The sequence below is a fragment of the Homo sapiens genome, chromosome 13 (genome assembly GCF_000001405.40).
Source record: "Homo sapiens chromosome 13, GRCh38.p14 Primary Assembly".
Lineage (NCBI taxonomy): Eukaryota > Metazoa > Chordata > Mammalia > Primates > Hominidae > Homo > Homo sapiens.
In genome coordinates this window covers 46,882,688-46,902,541 of record NC_000013.11, presented here as the reverse complement: position 1 = coordinate 46,902,541, position 19,854 = coordinate 46,882,688, and the positions used below count along the sequence as shown (strand labels likewise).

The 19,854-nt window shown below is 40.3% G+C and overlaps 1 protein-coding gene across 3 annotated transcripts in view, besides 1 other annotated feature; it reads left to right on the top strand.

Moving 5' to 3' along the window:
* The window catches only part of HTR2A (5-hydroxytryptamine receptor 2A), a 66,537-nt gene continuing 51,142 nt past the window's right edge, over positions 4,460 to 19,854 (top strand). Inside the window, exons 1-3 of one of the 3 annotated variants that reach the window (NM_001378924.1) lie at positions 4,460 to 4,590; positions 6,308 to 7,047; positions 9,952 to 10,152. In NM_001378924.1, coding sequence (NP_001365853.1) covers positions 6,636 to 7,047; positions 9,952 to 10,152 — 613 coding nt within the window. In that variant the 5' untranslated portion in view covers positions 4,460 to 4,590; positions 6,308 to 6,635. Of the gene's footprint in view, positions 4,591 to 5,488; positions 5,869 to 6,307; positions 7,048 to 9,951; positions 10,153 to 19,854 lie in introns of those variants that run through there. The other 2 variants (NM_000621.5, NM_001165947.5) reach the window with 2 other exon arrangements.
* Positions 8,179 to 8,388: a silencer, noted in NCBI's record as "silent region_5328". NCBI's record gives its function as "represses an Ori minimal core promoter by ATAC-STARR-seq in GM12878 lymphoblastoid cells {active_cell/tissue: GM12878}" and the evidence as "EXISTENCE:reporter gene assay evidence [ECO:0000049][PMID:35858748]".

Here is a 19,854-nt window from a genome sequence, read left to right as displayed (position 1 = left end):
ACTATTTCTGTTAAGGACGATGCCCCATTCTTCTAGTTGCTCAGATCTAAAACCTTCAGAGTGACGCAGCTCTCTTCTTTCTCTCACGTCCCATATCCTATCATTATCTGTCATCAAGTTCTGTTGGCTCTACCTTTAAAACATACGCAGAATCTGACCATTTCTCACAAACCCACTAGCACTACCCTAGTGAAAGCCACACCATCTCTCACCTGAAACTGATGTTCTTGCTTCCCTCCCCCTCCCCTCTTGAACCCATTCCATTGGGCTGTTATTCCAACTACTCCACTGGAACAGTTCTTATCAAGGCCACCAAAGACTACCATTTTGACAAATTTTACGGTGATTTCTCAGTCCTTATTATACTCAGCTGGTCAGAAGGCATTTCACCCAGTTGCATACTCATTCTTCTTGGCCATCTTTCTTTTCTTTTACTTTAGGATTACACTTTCTCTTTGTGTCTCTCCTAACTCACTGGGTGCCCCTTTTCATTCTACTTGGCAGGTTCCTCCACACTCTCTGACCTAAACTATTGCAGTAATCCATGGCTGAGTTCTCAGACCTCTTCCCTTCTTTATCTCCACTCACTCTCTTAGATGATTTCACCTAGTAGCATACCTTAAATACCAATATGCCATTGGCTATTTGATGTCTCTTCCCTAAACTCTGTACTCATCCATGCTACTGCCAACTATTTCTTGAATGAATGAAGGCAGGAACTATGCTCATCTTCATGGTTATACTCAGCACCTATAATAGTGCTTGACACAGCAGTCAATTATCAACTGTTAAATTAATGAATATTGTTCAACTCGGTGCCACTGTGAGAAAATTAAAAAGATAGATGACAGTCATTAGCTAATTTCAAGTAGTTTTTTTTTTTAGATACAAGCCAGTGCCATAATAGAAGGCAGTTCATGATATTGTTTTCTAAATATACATTGGTCCGATGGTCTGGCTTGTTCCAAACCTAAGTATCAGAGCACCAAAAGGAAGTGATAGATAAAATGTCAGTCAGTAAACCCTCTGTTAATATTTTTTTCCTCATTCTCAGGCCATTAGTAATGTTTGAGCAGCAGAAATCTTAGAGACATATTCTTAAATATCATAGAGTAAAAGAATTCTATGCTGCCAATTCATAACAAAATCAGGCATAATCAATTGAGTGAAGGTTAAGGTTGGCACTGTCTTGCAAAATTAAGCAGCTTAAAAAGGACAAACGTAACAAAGAAAAGGGACCTATTCTATGTTCCTTTGAACAAGAAAAAAAATAAATGTTGAAACCCCAAATGTCCAGGCCATTTCAGTTTCTCAGACTACAATCCATTAAATAATCATTTAATCACAGTGACATGGATGAACACACAGATACACTGTTGAGTGAAAGAAGCGTGACATAGAAGACTGCAGAAGATGCTACAGTCTTTGCCTCCACTAGGAAGGAGGGCCACATGTGTCCATTTAAGTTAAAGTCAAAAAAGGATAGGAGAGTACTTTCAAAAATGATGAAAATGGTGGATATCTTAATTTGGGTGATGGTTACATGGGTGTACATATTTGTCAAACTCAGTGAATTGTATACTTAAGAGCATTATGTTTTAATAAATTTAAAATATAACTCAATTTAGACAAAATTAAAGTGTCTTTCAATGAGTGTTCTGGATGAAGAGGAATGAAATAAATATAAACAAATTTCCTTACTGCAGGATCTCTTACAGCTTTTAATATGCAATTATGCACTGTATATTTCTAAGAGGAGACTATAAGATACAGTAATGTTCCAGACTTAATTGGTCAAGGAACCTTTTTTTCTCATATACATTGACATATGTAAGACACTACAGTTTCAGAAACCCAATAACTTTAGCCTGGAAAAAAATTCAAACAAAGGCTACAAATACCACTGAAGTCATTGAGAAAATATTAACATCTAATTTTAAGCAATCACTTTCTAGTGAATCTTCCAAAATGAACTAGTTATAAAATGTATTCCTATATATGGTCCAATTAAGAACTAGAGAAATTCTGCCCAAGATAATAAATATAGTTCTGGTATTGTTAACCTTAAATTCCTTCTGGCAGTAATTAGATAGCAAAGCCAGATGTATATTGAAGAATTCTAAGCTTATGGCAAGGAAGCATCATTCATCATCACATAGACAACACTTATCTGTTTTGTGTAAGACATCCAACTCACCCAGAGATGTTATTCAAGGCATTAATACACAGCTAAAGATGATAGGTCATAGGTTGAGCTCCCCAGGAAGCTGACTCTGTGACTGATGTGTGTGCAAGAGATTTGTGTGGGGCGAGCTCTCAGATCAACACCGGCAGGGGAGCAAGAGAAGCCAGACTGGACAAGGGGAGATATTTAACTTGGATTTGACACAACAAAGGCCTCAGTGAATCCCATAGAAGCACTGGAACCAAAGTTCTTCAGCCATCAGGCAAGAGGGCCAGCCCTTTATATCCTCACAATGGACCAGTCTTTGCATGCTGGCTGCCACAGAGAAGGGGCATGACCACTGGCAAGCTGGCTTCCTTGGCTGAGGGGAGTGTTCACAGAAAGAGTGGAGAGCCAGCCACCAATCCTTCCAGCAGCAGGGAGCCCGAGTCTCAGCCCTGAAGCAGAAGCTGGGCGAGGCATCACGGTGCGCACTACAGCAGCCAACACACACTCGTCTCACCAAACTCACAGGGGCATCTGCCCAGCAAGAAACTATTCCTACCTAATCTAACCCTCATGCTATTAACCTAGAAGCTCTGTTTAAGAATCAGGAGCCTAGATTATGCCCCTACTGCTTTGTCCATAACAAGTATTCATAAAATTGCAATAAAAACTAGAAATAATCTTAGATGGTAGCCAAAAAAATATTTCCCAGTGTAAACCACATAATAAGAAACACTGATTAGTTTTGGCATGACTAGAAGCCTAGCTGTTCTTCATGAGAAATAATGGACTGAGATCATCAGAATTCTCTAAGAGCTATAACAAGAACATCTATAAAATTTAACCTCAGAAAACTTTTGAATAACTTCCTGACACTGGAGTATTTTTTATATTACATTTCCCTCTGCTATCTTTAATAAAATTAAATTGGTATCCCAATAAACAAAGTAACAAGAAAAAATGAGAGGTTCTAAGTTTCTCCCTGGTTCTCCTTTTTAATAATCAATTCATCTTAATTTATGCTAATAACAATTCAGTCAGAACACATCTGTTGAGGACCTTCCATTATGAGATACCATGCTTAGATACCACATGTGAGGTTTATGAATTGCATCTGGGTGGATAATATAATAGTATAAGATAGATGTAATATAGATTACATCTATATTAAGGGTATGGAAATGAAGTTCAACATCTAATAGAGAAGACAGACATTTACACAGATGTCATGCATTCATTCAACAAACATACTTAAGCACTATGCGCCCAGCTGTTAACAAGATAGACACAGTTCCTGCCTTTATGAGGCTTACATGAGACATGATGTGTTAAAAATAGAAGGCTGCAGAAGGTGCTATAGTCTTTGCCTCCACTGGGAAGGAGGGCTACAGAAAGCTTAGGAACAGTAAACTTAGTAAGAATAATAGCAACTAACCTTTATTGAGTGCTTAAAATGTGCCAGGCAAATATGTAAATTTATTTGGCTTTCACGTCAATCCTGAGGTCTTTTTATTATTAATGTTCCCTACTTGCGGATGAGGAGACTAAAACACAGAGATTAGGTAGCTTAATCACGCTTACAGATGTGGTGAGTGGTAGGCCTGGGATCCAGAGCTGCTCTGGAACTAAGCACGAATTTGCCAGATGGACACACACAAAAAAGGAATGGTAAGAGCACTCCGGGCACAGGGAAGTACAAGTACAGAGACATAAAAATGGTCAGAAACATGTAAGTTCAGTCTGCATACAGGCTGACTGGGAGAGTAACCAGAGTCCAGGCCTGCAAAGTGGGGCAAGCAGGGTACAGGTAGATGAAGAAAAGTGTTATGTGCCCCACAAGGAAGGGACTGCAGGAGTGTAGGCATGGGAGTGATGCCAATTGTGTCATTAATATCAGTAAGAATATCAATAGGAATGAAAGTGGCTGACATTACTTGAGAACCTCCTATAAGCCAGACATGGGCCAAATACTTACACACATTATCTCAGTTTAGCTTCACTACAATCTTATGAGGAAGGTATTATCCCATTTTACAAGTGAGAAGACTGAGCTTTAAAGGGAGCAACTAGATGAGGCGAGGTTCTACTGTTTATGAGTGATAGAGCTAGGATCCAAAACCAAGGAACTCTAAGGTCTGTGTTCTCCGCTGCCTGCTCGCCAGCGTGCATATTTAACGTGGAGGGGTAGGAGGGTGGCAGGCATGGCAGTGAGGGGGGCACTAAGGCACCCACCCAGGAAATAGGTGGCTAGATCTCGACCACAGGGTGCCAGCTGCAGGCTGCAGGAGAGGACATGTGAGAAACACGCATACAGAGGTAGCACCGGAGACGAAGTGGGATCTGGCAGCGAGAATGAAGGAAGAGTCGCGGATAACAGCAGCTGTCTGAAGAGGTGGTGATTCCATCATGCAAGCCAATGGGTAGGAACAAGCACTGAGAGCCGGGCAGGGGGATGCGGAGTGAGGGAAGATGCTGAGGTCAAGGTCTCCCAGGCTACCATGGAAGGAGCCAATGGGCAGCTAGAGATTTAGGTCTGGAACTGAGAGAAATAATCAGCTATGAAGGTACAGACTTGGCCACAAACATATTGAAGGCATGAGAGTGGTTGAATTTGTCCAGGGAGAATGTGAAGAACAGAAGGTGATAGAACTGTAGCAAAACCCAACTATTGAGGAAAATATTTTCATGCCTGCAAAAAGAGAGAGATCGAACTGCCTCCTTTAGAAACCTACTTGGGAAAGGGCTTTCTTTACAAGTAAGGCAAGTTGTCATTACTGGTGGGGGAAAAAAATTGGTACTGCGAAACCAACTTATTTCCTACCACATGTGAGGTTTTGAATAATATCTGGGTGGCATATTTCTGCTGAAGAAAATAAGCCAGTTCAATGGTGTATCTATTAAATAAAAATAGTGCTAATAGTTTATCAGAGTTATCACCACAGACGTGCCTAGCCACCCTGAGCCTATGTGGCCAATGTCAGTAATTCCACTCTGGACACAAACACTGTTGGCTTTGGATGGAAGTGCCGGACACTCACAGCACTCCGAGGACATACTGTTTTCTAGCCTTATTTATGTTCTCTCTTCACCCTTCAGCCTAAAAAATTACCACAGTGCCACTTACCTACCTTAATGGGAATCTGCACAAAAGGCCATTTCTCCAGTTTCTCTCAAAAGCAAAGGAAAACTTCCCAATATTAATATGTAGCAAAAAGAGGGAGAAGAAAAAGCCTGTTTGGTCCGCCCTCCTGGCTGTTGCTACCTTGCAGCTTATGACATACACATAGAGGGAGGTCTGATGAAATGAACGAGACAGTCAGAGAGCTACTCCATTCCCGTGGAAACCAGGAGTCCCTTGGTGCAGACAGCTCTTCCTACTTTCCCATGCAGTTCTTTTGTGCGACTTTGAGGGGCTCGTGAATGATTTCTAAATGTGTGCCTGCTGAGGCGAGCCGCACAGGGAGGGAGGAACCCAGCCGAGCCGTGCCAGAGGAAGCCAACAGGATCCTAGCAGTGCGGGAGCTGGCTCAGCTCTTGCATGCAGTTTTTGAAGTCAGCAAAACAGAAACCAAATTACTATCATATTATGCTGGTGGAAGATCAAGAAGAGGGGACTCTACACCAGTTTAATTACTGTGAGAGATGCAGCGAGTCACAGAATAACAAATGTATCTCATGTGTGGACCCTGAAGACAAATGTAAGTTCTCATGCCGCTATATTTTATTGCTGTGTAATTTTCTTTCCGGTTTGAAATCATGCTTGGCCAACATGTAATCATTTCAATGAGAATTTCCAGGGAGGAAAGTTGTCTGCTAATCTTTACTTAAGACTTTTTTGTTTTCCTTTTATTAGCTAAGCAACATTATAGGAGCTGAAATTCCTGACAGCAGCTGTGGCAATTCAGCTTAAGAATGGCTGAGAACTGTAACCCAAAGTACATCCAATTACTATGGGATTAACACTGGATGTATTTTTAATTGACTTTCTTAATGTAGAATGTGTACATCCCCACTGTTTCTGATTGCATGCTATTTTAATAATACTGTTGCTAAACTAGTACCATCGGCATAACCAACAAAATGAGATATAGTTAAACAAGAGTCCCAGTAGTTATAAAACTTTTCTTCTTTGTCCAGGACATTTATCTTCCCGAGCGCTCAAAAAAAACCCTGCAACCTCTATGCTAAAAGTTCATTCTGCTTTTTTGTCCTCGGTTTGGTGAGAAAATAATAAAACCAAACAGTGGACTCTCCTAAAATTGTGAATGAAGAAAACTTACAGCCACCACAGTTCAGTTCTTTAACTATCATTGTAATAATGGAAGACAAAAATCCAGCCCCGGGAGAACAGCATGTACACCAGCCTCAGTGTTACAGAGTGTGGGTACATCAAGGTGAATGGTGAGCAGAAACTATAACCTGTTAGTCCTTCTACACCTCATCTGCTACAAGTTCTGGCTTAGACATGGATATTCTTTGTGAAGAAAATACTTCTTTGAGCTCAACTACGAACTCCCTAATGCAATTAAATGATGACACCAGGCTCTACAGTAATGACTTTAACTCCGGAGAAGCTAACACTTCTGATGCATTTAACTGGACAGTCGACTCTGAAAATCGAACCAACCTTTCCTGTGAAGGGTGCCTCTCACCGTCGTGTCTCTCCTTACTTCATCTCCAGGAAAAAAACTGGTCTGCTTTACTGACAGCCGTAGTGATTATTCTAACTATTGCTGGAAACATACTCGTCATCATGGCAGTGTCCCTAGAGAAAAAGCTGCAGAATGCCACCAACTATTTCCTGATGTCACTTGCCATAGCTGATATGCTGCTGGGTTTCCTTGTCATGCCCGTGTCCATGTTAACCATCCTGTATGGTGAGTGGCATTAGTTTCCCAGCTATATTCGCACTGGTAATAAAGAGCATGTGCATGCCACCAGCAGATGAGATGGGGCTCAGGGGGCAAACAAACTATAAATAGAAGTCTTTGTTTATAGACTAGAGCCTACTATGTTACTTATATTTTACTCTTAAAATGGGATTTCACATAAAAATCAGACAGTCTATGACCTGTGATCACTGGAGAGTTTTGTGCTTCAAAACGCGTACATCCTGTGTAAAAATGATCATTGGAGAGTTTTGTGCTTCAAAACATGTACATTTAATGTAGAAATTTTTATAAATTACCCCATACAGTCATAAACCAATAACTTACCCATCATTCTGAATCTACTTGATTTTTGCTTCTTTATATTCCCAACCAATATTCCAGCCTTCAGGACAGAACAGTTTTAATCTTTGTCACACAGTTTTCAGCACTTTTAATGGAGTGATAAAGCCTTCCCAATTACTTTGGAACATTTGCAGAGAGAACATTAGTGGTGCAATAGGTTTTATGTTAAAATATGCAGAACCTCAATTAGAATAAATGAATTACTCCAGTTTTAATTGTTCCCTGCCCAGAGAAGCTAATTTGGAAATGTGCCTTTGAATTATATCCTCAACTCTTTGAAAATGCATATGCATAAACTCCTCCAGTCTGGTTTGGAGGAGGGTGGGAAACAAATGGGAAGGGATTAATCTTGCTTTCTTCTCAACAGAGTTTGAAACAGTCAGACCTCTCAGCAAGGGACCAGAATGTGATATTCTTTCCAAATTATGAGTAATACAGCCAGATACCTCCTTAAAGGAGAGACTATTGTGACTGCTGACACAGGCACAAGCAGCAGTCACTCAGAGCTTAGAGACAGGTTATGATAGCTATCTTTAAAGGGAAATTTTCTGGTCAAGTCTTAGGGGCTAAGATTAAAAAACATCAACCCAGCCCTAGAGAATGTGAAGGAGGAAGGCGGTACGCAAGGGCGAGCAGGCGCCAGTTTGCACAAAGCTAGTAACACTCATTCCAAGTCCAGCCTTCACTTGACCATTTAAATGCCACACCGGAATGATTTCATTTAATTTGCCTGCCCTTTCCCCGGCATCCCGGGGAAGATTCTCGCTTCCCAAACCCCCTCCCCTAGGGGGCAAACTCCAGTGGGGGTAGGAGGAGTGACAGAGCGGGACCCAAAACAGAGGCTGGAGGGTGGGGTGACCCCCGGCGTCACCCGCTTGGGGAGCAAGGGCGCCCCCTGGCGGCCGCCGCTCTGAGAGCAGCCCGTTCCCTCCGGAGCCCCGCCCCTCCCTAGGCTGCTCCTCCAGCCTCCCCCAGCCCACGGGGCGTGGGGCATGGGGCTTCTCCCACAAGGAAATGCCCCCTCCTTATCCCGCATCAGAAACACGGACTGAGGCCTGGGCCGCCTCCTGGCAGAGAAACCCCTCCGAGGGCCGACATCTGTTCCGAACAGACAGAGCGTGGCTTCCCCCATAAGGCGCTGCAAAGGAAAAGGCTTTCCTTTCGGCTCAAGCTCTTTGCAAATAATACATGTGAATGGCTGTAAATTAGGCTTGTACCTACGCCCTTTACTTGTCTAAATATCCCTTGTGGCATTTTGGTAGAGAGTGTACGTTTGCGTTGGAGTTTGTTCGGCTTTGTGGGTCTGTAATAAGAAAAGTGGACTTTAAAATTTTCCTTCTTACATGCAGGCAGATCTAACTCCGCTGCTTATACTGTGATCAAAACTAATTAAGGTTTACATAACTGCTTAATCCCCCTCCAAAACACAAAACCAGGACACTTTGTTTATGTCCATAAAGCACACTCTAACCTTCCTCATATAGCAGGTGACCTGCAGTATCTCTTACATTGGAATTGTCTGGGGAGCTTGGAAAAAGCTTTGCAAACGCTTTGACATTTGATGTCCACCTCAGCCCACCCTCCAAACATGATTTAATTGGGCTGGGTTTGGCATGGGCATCAGGACCTTCTCTAAAGCTCTCCAGCTGATACTGATGTGCAGCCAGGGGTGAGAGCCACTACCCTAAAGCAGCTATTCACAAAGCGTGGTCCCTGGACCAGCAGCATCAGCATCACCCGGGAGCTTGCTAATTCAGATGCAAATTCTACAGCCTGCTCCCTACTAACTGCATCAGAACCTCTGGACGGAGGTCCAGCAGTGTGTGTTTTAAGAGGTGTGGCAGAGTCTGATGCTCACTAAAGTTTGAGAAATGCCTCCCTAAAACAAAGCTCAGAGCAAGGACACCTTTCTTTATTTTTCTTCACCCTTGTCTTCAGCTCTCCCTACACATACCCCAAATTTGAGTTTGGCACCCAAAGCATTATTAGATCATTATTTTTCATTTTTACAAACAGACATATTCACAATCTGAATTTTTAGTCATTTAGTCATTTGCACTAATGCAATTTATTGCCATCACTGTATGGGACTGGATGGTTATAATAATGACTAAGAGGTGAGACTAACCTTAGGGAAATACAATCCAGAGAAATATGTGACTAAATCCTGACAGTACAGTGTGAGAGGTGCTCCAGAAGAGGAGCCAAAACACAAATTTTGACATAAGCCATTAACAAAAGAAATGTTTTGCCAGGCGTAAGGGGGAAGAAAGAGAACCCCCAAATAGAGACCATCCAAGCTTACCGTGCCACACTCACATAACTCCAGACACTAGAAATTTTCAAACCCTGCATTCATCAGCCAGTGCTAGCTTATCATAGTTAAGTACAGTTGCCAGTGGGCTTTTTTCAAATACTAAAAATATATTGTGTTGCCCTTTGCCACCACCTGTGCCTGTCCCAGAGCTGGAAATTGTCATAGGATAGGGATACATGTGCTCCAGGAGGCACAGGGTTGCTCACTGACACCAACCTTCTGCCTCATAGGGTACCGGTGGCCTCTGCCGAGCAAGCTTTGTGCAGTCTGGATTTACCTGGACGTGCTCTTCTCCACGGCCTCCATCATGCACCTCTGCGCCATCTCGCTGGACCGCTACGTCGCCATCCAGAATCCCATCCACCACAGCCGCTTCAACTCCAGAACTAAGGCATTTCTGAAAATCATTGCTGTTTGGACCATATCAGTAGGTAAGTGGCAACATATTTCAGAGTCTCATTTGAAATGACAGTTCGTGCTTTCTGAAAAGACTTGTTCCATTTTGTTGTACTGAAACCTGACATCCTCAATCTACTGTTTTGGGTGGTGCAAGATATGTTACAACATCATAATTATCAGATTCGCTTCAGGAAAGAAAAATCTGTTTATGTCACTGGCTGACAACATGAATTTGTATTGCTTTGCACAGGCAAAACTATAAACAGTAGAGCCAAAAAGTCAGAAATAACTGTGCTGTTTTCCCTATTTCTTACTTTCAAGTCCACGACTCTAATTCTTGGGTTTCCCAAAGACCTCAACTTTTATAATCACTGAACTTATGATCAACGTAAGGATGCAGACCACTTTGCTAGAGAACATAAAGCCTCTGGGCTCTAGAGAAAGGTACCATGTGCTGTAGCTTGGAGGGAAAAGGTGGGCCAGAGGAAAGTGCCAGGATTTGCTTTGGGGCAAGGCTGCTTTTCAGTCCGACCCAGTGTCCCTATTGACCTTCCTCCTTTTATGATACCACACACCAAAGGATTTCAACTTGCTTCTGTTAGGTTGATTACATATATTCATCTCTCGCCAGTATTGATCTTCTGTCACACACCTAATAGTCAGAAAAGCCCAGGTAATGGAAGCTAAGGGGGCGGGTCTCAGGCAGTGAAGTGAATTGTACCTGTCAACCTCAGCAGCTTGGTTGGTAACCAAAGATTCTCTGACATTCATTTTAAAATCCAAAAGCTTAGCAGGCAGGAGTGTTGCACCTGTTTATGGCCACGCCAGTGCCAGCATCCGCTAATATGAGAGACTATGAGATTCCACCGCTTGAAATCAAGGGCTTGAGTGAGCTTATCCACAGCATTGGAATAATAGTACCAATAATAAGAGCCAACACAATAATACTATATCTTGTGTATTTTAGTTCCCATTGTTTTCTTTGCTGCTAGCAATGGGAACTATTATGCAATTTGAAGAGTAAGTAGCTCCATCTTATAGATGAGGAAAAACTGGGATTCAAAAAGCAAAATGAGCTGTGCAAAGCCCCACAGCCAGTAAGTAGCACAACAAGGATTTTATTGAATTCTGATGGGAACATCTGATGGAAACACTAACAAATCACACTTGTGTCACTTTCAAATGTTTAAAAAGTCTTACCTACTTCCTATTTTAAATTTCCCATTACCGTTTGAGATAGAAGATTCTATGGTGCTTATTTGATAAATGAGGAAACCAGAATACAGAGGTATTGTGGCTTACTGGATCATGTCTCCAACTTGCAGCAGGACTAGGACTCTAAACTTCCAGCACCATGCCCTGTTCTTTCTGTACCTTCCTTAGGAAACAGTTTTTGCTCCTAGAAAATGCTTGTAGTTTCTGGGACTGTGCAAGTTGGACTCATTCTACTAAGAGCAAGAAAGTGAAGGGCCAGTAACCACTCAATCCCAATTACACATAAAATGCCCCTGGGAACATTCTGATTTAATTGCCTAGGGTGAGGCCAGGTGATTCTAAGGGGCAGTCAGAGTTGAAGACCACTGAGACAGGTTTTCAGGGTGGTCAGCGTGATAAGTAGGAGAATCAAGATTAATGCAGAGGGAGCAAATGAAGCTATTTATTTTTACCCTGATACACTGTCCATAGTTTTACCCCAATATACTGTGCCATTGGTGAGACAAATGCTGGGAAGGTCAACCATCTTTTCCTCAGCCACACTGACTCCCCCATCTCATTCAGGCTTCATGATAACACCAGTAGTAAGGTAACAGTTTCTGAGCACTGAGTACGGACCCAGTAGTATACAAAGCCCCTTAAAGAAAATCAGCTTCAGAGAACTCAGTTGCACAGGATGATATCACTTATAATCAGGAGTCAATATGGGTCAATCTGAGTCCAAAGCCCATGCTCTTTCCACTGCACAAAAGATAGCCAGAAAGAGCCAGAGGCAGACTATCACCACAGGAGGCAGGCAGGCTGGAATGATTGTGGTGGTGCCAGGCAGGGATCATTCATCCATCCACTTGGCCAGTCTTTTTGAGATGAAGTTTCGCTCTTGTTGCCCAGGCTGGAGTGCAATGGTGCTATCTTGGCTCACCGCAACCTCCGCCTCCCGCATTCAAGCTATTCTCCTGCCTCAGCCTCCTGAGTAGCTGGGATTACAGGCATGTGCCACCACGCCCGGCTAATTTTGCATTTTTAGTAGAGACAAGGTTTCTCCATGTTGGTCAGGCTAGTCTCGAACTCCCGACCTCAGGTGATCCCCCTACCTTGGCCTCCCAAAGTGCTGGGATTACAGTCATGAGCCACTGCCCCCACATTTGACCAGTCTTGTAATGTGCATCTACTATGTGTTTGGCACTGTATAGACCAAGATGAAAAAGATATGCATTCAAAGATCTCTCACAGTAAGGTAGGAGAAGACAAGGAAACAAAAGAATAAAAAAAAGTTACATAGAATCTATACTAGAAGTCTGAGGTGTGTGCCCTGAGGAGGGGGCAAGCGGAAAATGTAAAAAGGAAAAAGGCAGATCTAATGAAGGACCTACAGAGACTCAGCACAAATATTCTCTTGAGTTTTCTTCTAGTGTTTCTGTTTTGATTATTTTGCTTTGGGTTTAGTTTTTTGTTTGCTTTGTGTGTGGTTTCTTTTAATTTAGATCCTTAGTCTAGCTGGAATTTTAAAATATGATCTAACTTGTTTGCTTCTACTAGTAACTAAAGCTTTTTTTAGACTCAATTGATATTTTCTCTTCAAGCTATTGATATGTTCACTCTCTTGGTAAATTTCTAAATGTAATACTGTCTTACATTCCTGGAATATTGAGTTTGTATGACAAAGTTGGTTGGTTTATGATTCTTACAAGTTTTCTTTTTCTAGCTTTATTAAATGATAGAGAAGTTTCCACTTTCCCTAAGTCTTGAAGTCTTTAAGTAGAAATTACATGTTTTTGAGAGGTTATGTAGAACTTGGTTCCAAATCTCTTCATCCTGGCTCCTTTTTAAATAGTATTTTAAGTTACATTTCTAACTTCTATAGTTATTGCATTTACATTTTCTATACCTTCATGGGTTATTAGCTGCATACAAATTTTAACCTTTACATTGATTCTTTTATCATTAACTGTCCCACTTTATATCTAGTGATGCTTCTTGATTTAAAATCTATTTGATCTTAGTATAGCTACGTTAATTTTCTTTTGATTATCATTTTTGGATATATCTTATTTCATCCTGTTACTTTCAAACCTTTTGTGACTTTAAAGTGTTAGCCTGTAAGCAGCATATAAAGTTTTGTTTTTAACCCCATCTTTGTCTTTTAGTTGGAGTATTTAGTCCTTTTACATATAATGTTAACTCATATTTGGGTTTAAATCTGTTATCTTACAATTTGCTATTTTCTTATTTGTTCTATATTCTAGTTTCTTTTCATTCTTACCTTCTTTTGGACTAATCAAGAATTGTCAATTCATCATTCCCCTTTATGAGCTTGTTATCCATTGTTTTAAATTACTTCAATGATTACAACATTCCTTATTGACCTTAGAGTCTAAAACAAATTATTACTTGTAACACTTCTCGGATAGTGCAAAAACTTTAGAACCTTTTAGCTCCATCTATCCCTGTTGTCTTTTGGGTTTTTCCCTATTTACTAAATGTCTTTTTTAAACCCATAAGACATCATTATAGCCATTCTATTCACTATTTCTCACATATTAACCCCTGTTGCTGTTTATTGCTTTCTTCATTTTCATGATTTTGCCTGGGTTCCTCATTCCTGAAGAATTTCCTCTAGAATATCATGTCGTTTGTTCTGTTTTTCTTATCCTAAGCATCTTTATTTTGCTTTCATTTCAAACACATTTTTGTTCAGTATAGAATTCTAGGTTGACAGTCATCTTTTTTTTTTTTCAGCACTTCATAGGTGGCAAATCCAACATTCCAGGCTTATATTTTTTGTTTGTAAGAATCCAGCTGTCAGTCTTATTTTTATTCCTTCAGAAACATCACCTTGTGCCACGCCCTGCTGCTTCAGAATGTTTTGTCTCTATTTTAGCAACTTTATCATGATGTACTTAGTTGTGAATTAGTTTCTGTTTTTATCCTGCATGGTGTATGTACTGATTCTTAAACTTGTGACTTTGGCCACTTTGACAAAACTCTTGGTCACCATCTTTTCAAATATTGCTTCTGCCCCATTCTCTCTCTTCCTCATGTCTGGGACTCCAATCTCATGTATGCTAAACCTTTTACCTAAGTTCTTTATAACTCAAGCACTTCTACATTTTTTTTTTTGCTTTGTTCTTCAACTTTTAAGTTCAGGGGTACATGTGCAGGATGTGCAGGTTTGTTACATGGGTAAACGTGTGCCATGGTGGTTTGCTGCACAGATCATCCCATTACCCAGGTATTAAGCCCAGCATCCATTAGTTATTCTTCCTGATGCTCTCCCTCCCACCTCCCCCCACCAACAGGCCCCAGTGTGTGTTGATCCCCACCATGTGTCCACGTGTTCTCACGATTCAGCTCCCACATATTAGTGAGAACATGCAGTGTTAAACACTTCTACATTTTGTACATTTTTCTCCTTTTATTTCTTGAGATAGCTTTACTGACTTTTCTTCTTCTGTTACTAGTCCTCTCATCAGCTACTTCTAATCTGCCTAAGACCCATCTCTTGTTTTCTTAATTTTAATTCCTACACTTTTAGTTCTAGATTTTTTCATTTAATTCTTTATAAATTCCAGGTTTTTAGAATAATTCTCCATGTTTTCATCTATTTTCTTAAATATTAATCACAAGTTATCTGGATCTCTCTTTTCTGGGTTGTGGGATTACCTAGGGATTTCTCTTTTCTGAGTTTTGGGGTTGTTTTTCTCTTCATTCTGTCTGTTGATATGTCTGGTAATTTTTTTAATTGAGTACTGTGTATGCCTGATAATTTTTTTTTTTTTTTTTTGAGACAGAGTCTCACTCTGTCGCCCCCGCTGGAGTGCAGTGGCGCGATCTCGGCTCACTGCAAGCTCCACCTCCTGGGTTCACGCCATTCTCCTGCCTCAGCCTCCCAAGTAGCTGGGACTACAGGCGCCCGCCACCACACCCGGCTAAATTTTTTTTTGTATTTTTAGTAGAGATGGGGTTTCACCATGTTAGCCAGGATGGTCTCGATCTACTGACCTCATGATCCGCCCGCCTCGGCATCCCAAAGTGCCGGGATTACAGGCATGAGCCACTGCGCCTGGCCGCCTGGTAATTCTTTTTAATTGAATACTGGACACTGAAATAAAATGTTTGGGTGTTTTGTTGATACTGCCTTTCTCCAGAGTGGAGTCTTTTAGCATTAACAGCAGTTAAAGTAAGCACAGTTCCCCTTAATCCAATAAGGGATTGAGTTTATTTAAGGCAAGGTTCTTATAAAAGCCAGTCTATTTCTAGTTTGCCTTTATACCTAGGATGTATTTTTTCATGATCCCAGATGAAAGCCTGACGTGTTCTCCATTTTGAGGAGCTCTGAGCTTCAAGTTTCATATCCTCAACATCGTAAGACTACTGCTAACTCTCTTTAGCTATTCGGTCTCTCAATCTGTTCCTTTAACAAACTGGCAACTGCCTGAGTAGAAAGGTAGCTCATAGTATTACCTTGCTTTCTTGCTCTTCCCTTCACTCCAGAATCTTAACTTCTTAACATCCTGGCTACCTTGGTACCCTCTCACCAATTGCTTTTTCTCTCCCTGACCCCAAGGACAGGTTTGGGACCTTGAATTCTGCTTTATGTGGTACTAATATTACTCTATCTTTTTTGTTTGACTCTCCCCAGGCTATTTTCTCACCTTTTCATTTTTAATATGTTTTTGTAGCTTTGCTTTATGTGCATTTTCACAAGTAACATATGGATAGATTTATTTAACAAAATCTGTTAGTCTTTGCCTTTTTAATATTGAAATTTGACCTGCCCACATTTGTGACAATCAGCATCAGTTTTAGCCCTTCCATCTTATATTTATATTTTAATAGCTCATTTTTAAATGAACTATTTACTGACTTGCACAATATCTTAATTTCCTTCCTCCAACCCGGTTAGTTTGAATTGTTATGGGACTCTTCCATTGCTCTTATGATTACAGTCCCATTTCAAATCATCACGTTATTTCTATTAATATATCTAAAATAAATAATCTCATTAAGTTATTTCCTCATTACCCTGAGTCCCAATTCACAAGTTTTCCAATAATTTCTAAATAACCTAGTGGCAGAATAGATCTTTAAAAGCAAGTCAAAAAATGCAGATGCCATAAAGAAGAATATATACATAAACAGTTATATAAGTTTGATACGGCTAAAATCAGTGTAAGCAAAGTTAAACGAAAAATATTTGCAATGTATATGATTGGCAGACCAAGGGTTAATAACCTTAAAATACAAATAGCAACATATTTAAAAAGAGGAAAAGGAAACAATCTAACAGAGAGAATAAGCAAACTAAAATTTCAGGCAATTCACAGAAACATAACTTGAAATGGACAATAAAACTTATTTAACATGTTTAGCCTCTTAAACAGTCATGGCAATATAATCTAAAACAATGCAGTAACGTCTTTCACTTATCCAATTGGCAAAATGAAGTTAGTGAAGACAGCCAGTGCTGCCCTGAATATGGCACCACTTGCACTCTCTCAAAACCCTGCTTGTGGAAATGTGAATTATTTGTTCTTGGGCCATCTAGCAAAAGCTATTAAAACTTGACCTACCAATTCCACTTGAGAGAATCTATTCTATAGAAAAACAAAAGCACATGTAATGATTTTTAATGCAGCAATTTCTTCAGAAAGAAATGGAAAGGTTGGATTATGTTTAGATATGTCACTTTTCTCTAAATTGCAGAATATTTTGAAGATCTTAAAAATATTAAGTTGAGACTACAGTTGTTTCCATTATCCAGTTTCCCTTTCCATAGTTTTATTTACCCAGTTAACCACAGTCTGAAATTGTTAAATGGAAAATTCAAGAAATAGACAATTTGAAAGTTTTAAATCGCCCTCCATACCAAGTAGAGTGATAAACTCTCCCGCCATCCTGCCTCGTATTACCCAGAATGTGAATTATCCCTTTGTCCAGCATATCCACACTGCAGATGCTATCCACCTGTGAGTCACTTTGTAGCCATCTCAGTCATCTGATCAACTGCCATGGCATCATAGTGCTTGTAGTCCAGTCATCTTTATTTTACTCAATCATTTACTAATACTTTAATTCTTACTGCTGCTAATCTCTTACTGTGCTTTCTTTATAAATTAAGTTTTATCATAGGTACGCATATACAGGAAAAAAAAACAGTCTATATCAAGTTTAGTATCCTTGGTTTCAGGCATCTACTGGAGGTCTTGGAATGTATGGCCCTCAGACAAGGGGGGACCACTGTATTTGATATTTAAGTGAAGGAATGTTCATAATGTTAAATGCAAGAAGCAAGTTTTGGAGTGGTATGCATGGTGTGAGCTCATTCTGGTAAACTAATGATAATATAGTGATAATATGTGGAGATATATATATATATGTATACATACACACACAAATACACACACAAGTGCTGAGAATCTGTCAAAAGACTTCACACTTATCAAGATGATTAAATTAGAAAGAATGGCAGGATTGTCATCTTTTTCCTTAAGCATTTCTGTATAGTTTTGTCACAGTTTTGTTTTGTTCTGTTTTTATCTTGAGACAGAGTCTTGCTCTGTTGCCCAGGCTGGAGTGCAGTGGTGCAATCATGGCTCACTGCGAGCTCCGCCTCCCAGGTTCACGCCATTCTCCTGGCTCAGCCTCCTGAGTATCTGGGACTACAGGTATGCACCACCACTCCCAGCTAATTTTTTGTATTTTTAGTAGAGATGGGTTTTCACCGTGTTAGCCAGGATGGTCTTGATGTCCTGACCTCGTGATCCGCCCACCTTGGATTTGTTTAGATATCTCACTTTTCTCTAAATTGCAGAATATTTTGAAGATCTTAAAAATATTAAGTTGAGACTACAGTTGTTTCCATTTATCCACAGTTTCCCTTTCCATTGTTTTATTTATCCAGTTAACCACAGTCTGAAATTGTTAAATGGAAAATTCAAGAAGTAGACAATTTGAAAGTTTTAAATTGCCCTCCATACCAAGTAGAGGCCTTGGCCTCCCAAAGTGCTGGGATTACAGGCGTGAGCCACTTCACCCGGCCTGTCACAAATATTTTTATTCCAAAGTGTTTCAGATGATCCATAATGCAGCTGTTATAACTGCATCATGGGTCAAAGACAGCTTCTTGGATGAGGCGGCCAACTTTCAAAGTTAGCAAGGATCTGACACATTTTCACCTCGGTAACCACATCATAGATTAGTCAAGTTTTCCTGCACTCAGTACTCCTGAAATGTACTGCTGCTTTCCCCTTGCTCACCATTATCAGTGTGGTCACTTCACTGCTTGCGAAGGATTCCATCTAATTCTGAGGAAAAGGAACATAATTGCAAATCATTGTGTTTTCTGTGTGGGAGCTTCTGAGTAAAGCAGCAATGACAGGAGATTGAAGCATTGGATTAAGAATAATCCTGCGGGGTGGAGAGAGAGTGATCCTAGTATTCTCTATGGATTTCATTTTCCCTTTATAAACCTACTTCCCATGATCAGCAGTAACTGTGACTTCACCGCAACGTATAAAATGAGCAAACCCTTTCCTCAGGATGGTTTCTTTTCTCATGGACCCTTCATGATGTATCCTTTTTCCATCTGCCAATGCCATGAGAAGAGAAAATAGAAGCTACTTTATTTCCTGTCTTTAGCAAAGACATATCTCAGAAAAGGTGAAAATGACTATTCTCACATTGCCGTATTCTGACAGGCAACCAAAGATACCACTTTAAATTCCTTTTCCAGATGTTATTTCATTTCAGAAATATATTTGCAGTTTATGGGGTAATTTTGAAGTACCGTCAGTCTAAATAGATTTTTTTCCCTCAAGGATAAACATAATCATGTATTTTCTGCATTATTACTTTTGTAATGGGAGGAAAGGCAAGCTGGGTTACATTTATTTGGGGCCATTCCCCTCAAGCTGTGACACCTTACATAGAATCCTAACCTTCCTGGACCTAACCTCTTGCCTTCATGCAGCTCAAATAGCTGCCTTCCTAGACAGTGCAGATGTTTCAGGAAGCTTTGAAGGACAGAGAAAATGATAAAATCTCATTGTAGTTTTGTGTTGATTTAGTATATGGGGGTTTTAGCATCGCTTCATGTTATGTTTTTATTTTCTATAATTGGCTGCCCATGGTTTTTGCTGTAGGACTTGGTGAATATAAGCAAAATGTCTGGAGCCACACTATCTGGATTTGAATACTGGCTCTGTCCCTTCTAAGCTGTGTGACCTTGGGCAAGTTACTTCACCTCTCTGTGTCTCAGGTTCCTGGTGATAAAATGGAGATGGTAACAGAACCTACATTATGGTTTCTGTTTGCATGGTGGATCTCTCTTGGATTCTATTTCATATACTAATTAGCCATGTGAGAAAAGAAAATAGATGCTAATTTATTTTCTGTCTTTATGAGGTTAAAGATTGAGTAAATGTAATGTTTGTCATATAAGTGTTAATTAAGTTTTCAACATAATTTGAACTCTTGTCTTGGCTTTTTCCTAATTGGTAAATTAGGGGATTAAGCTC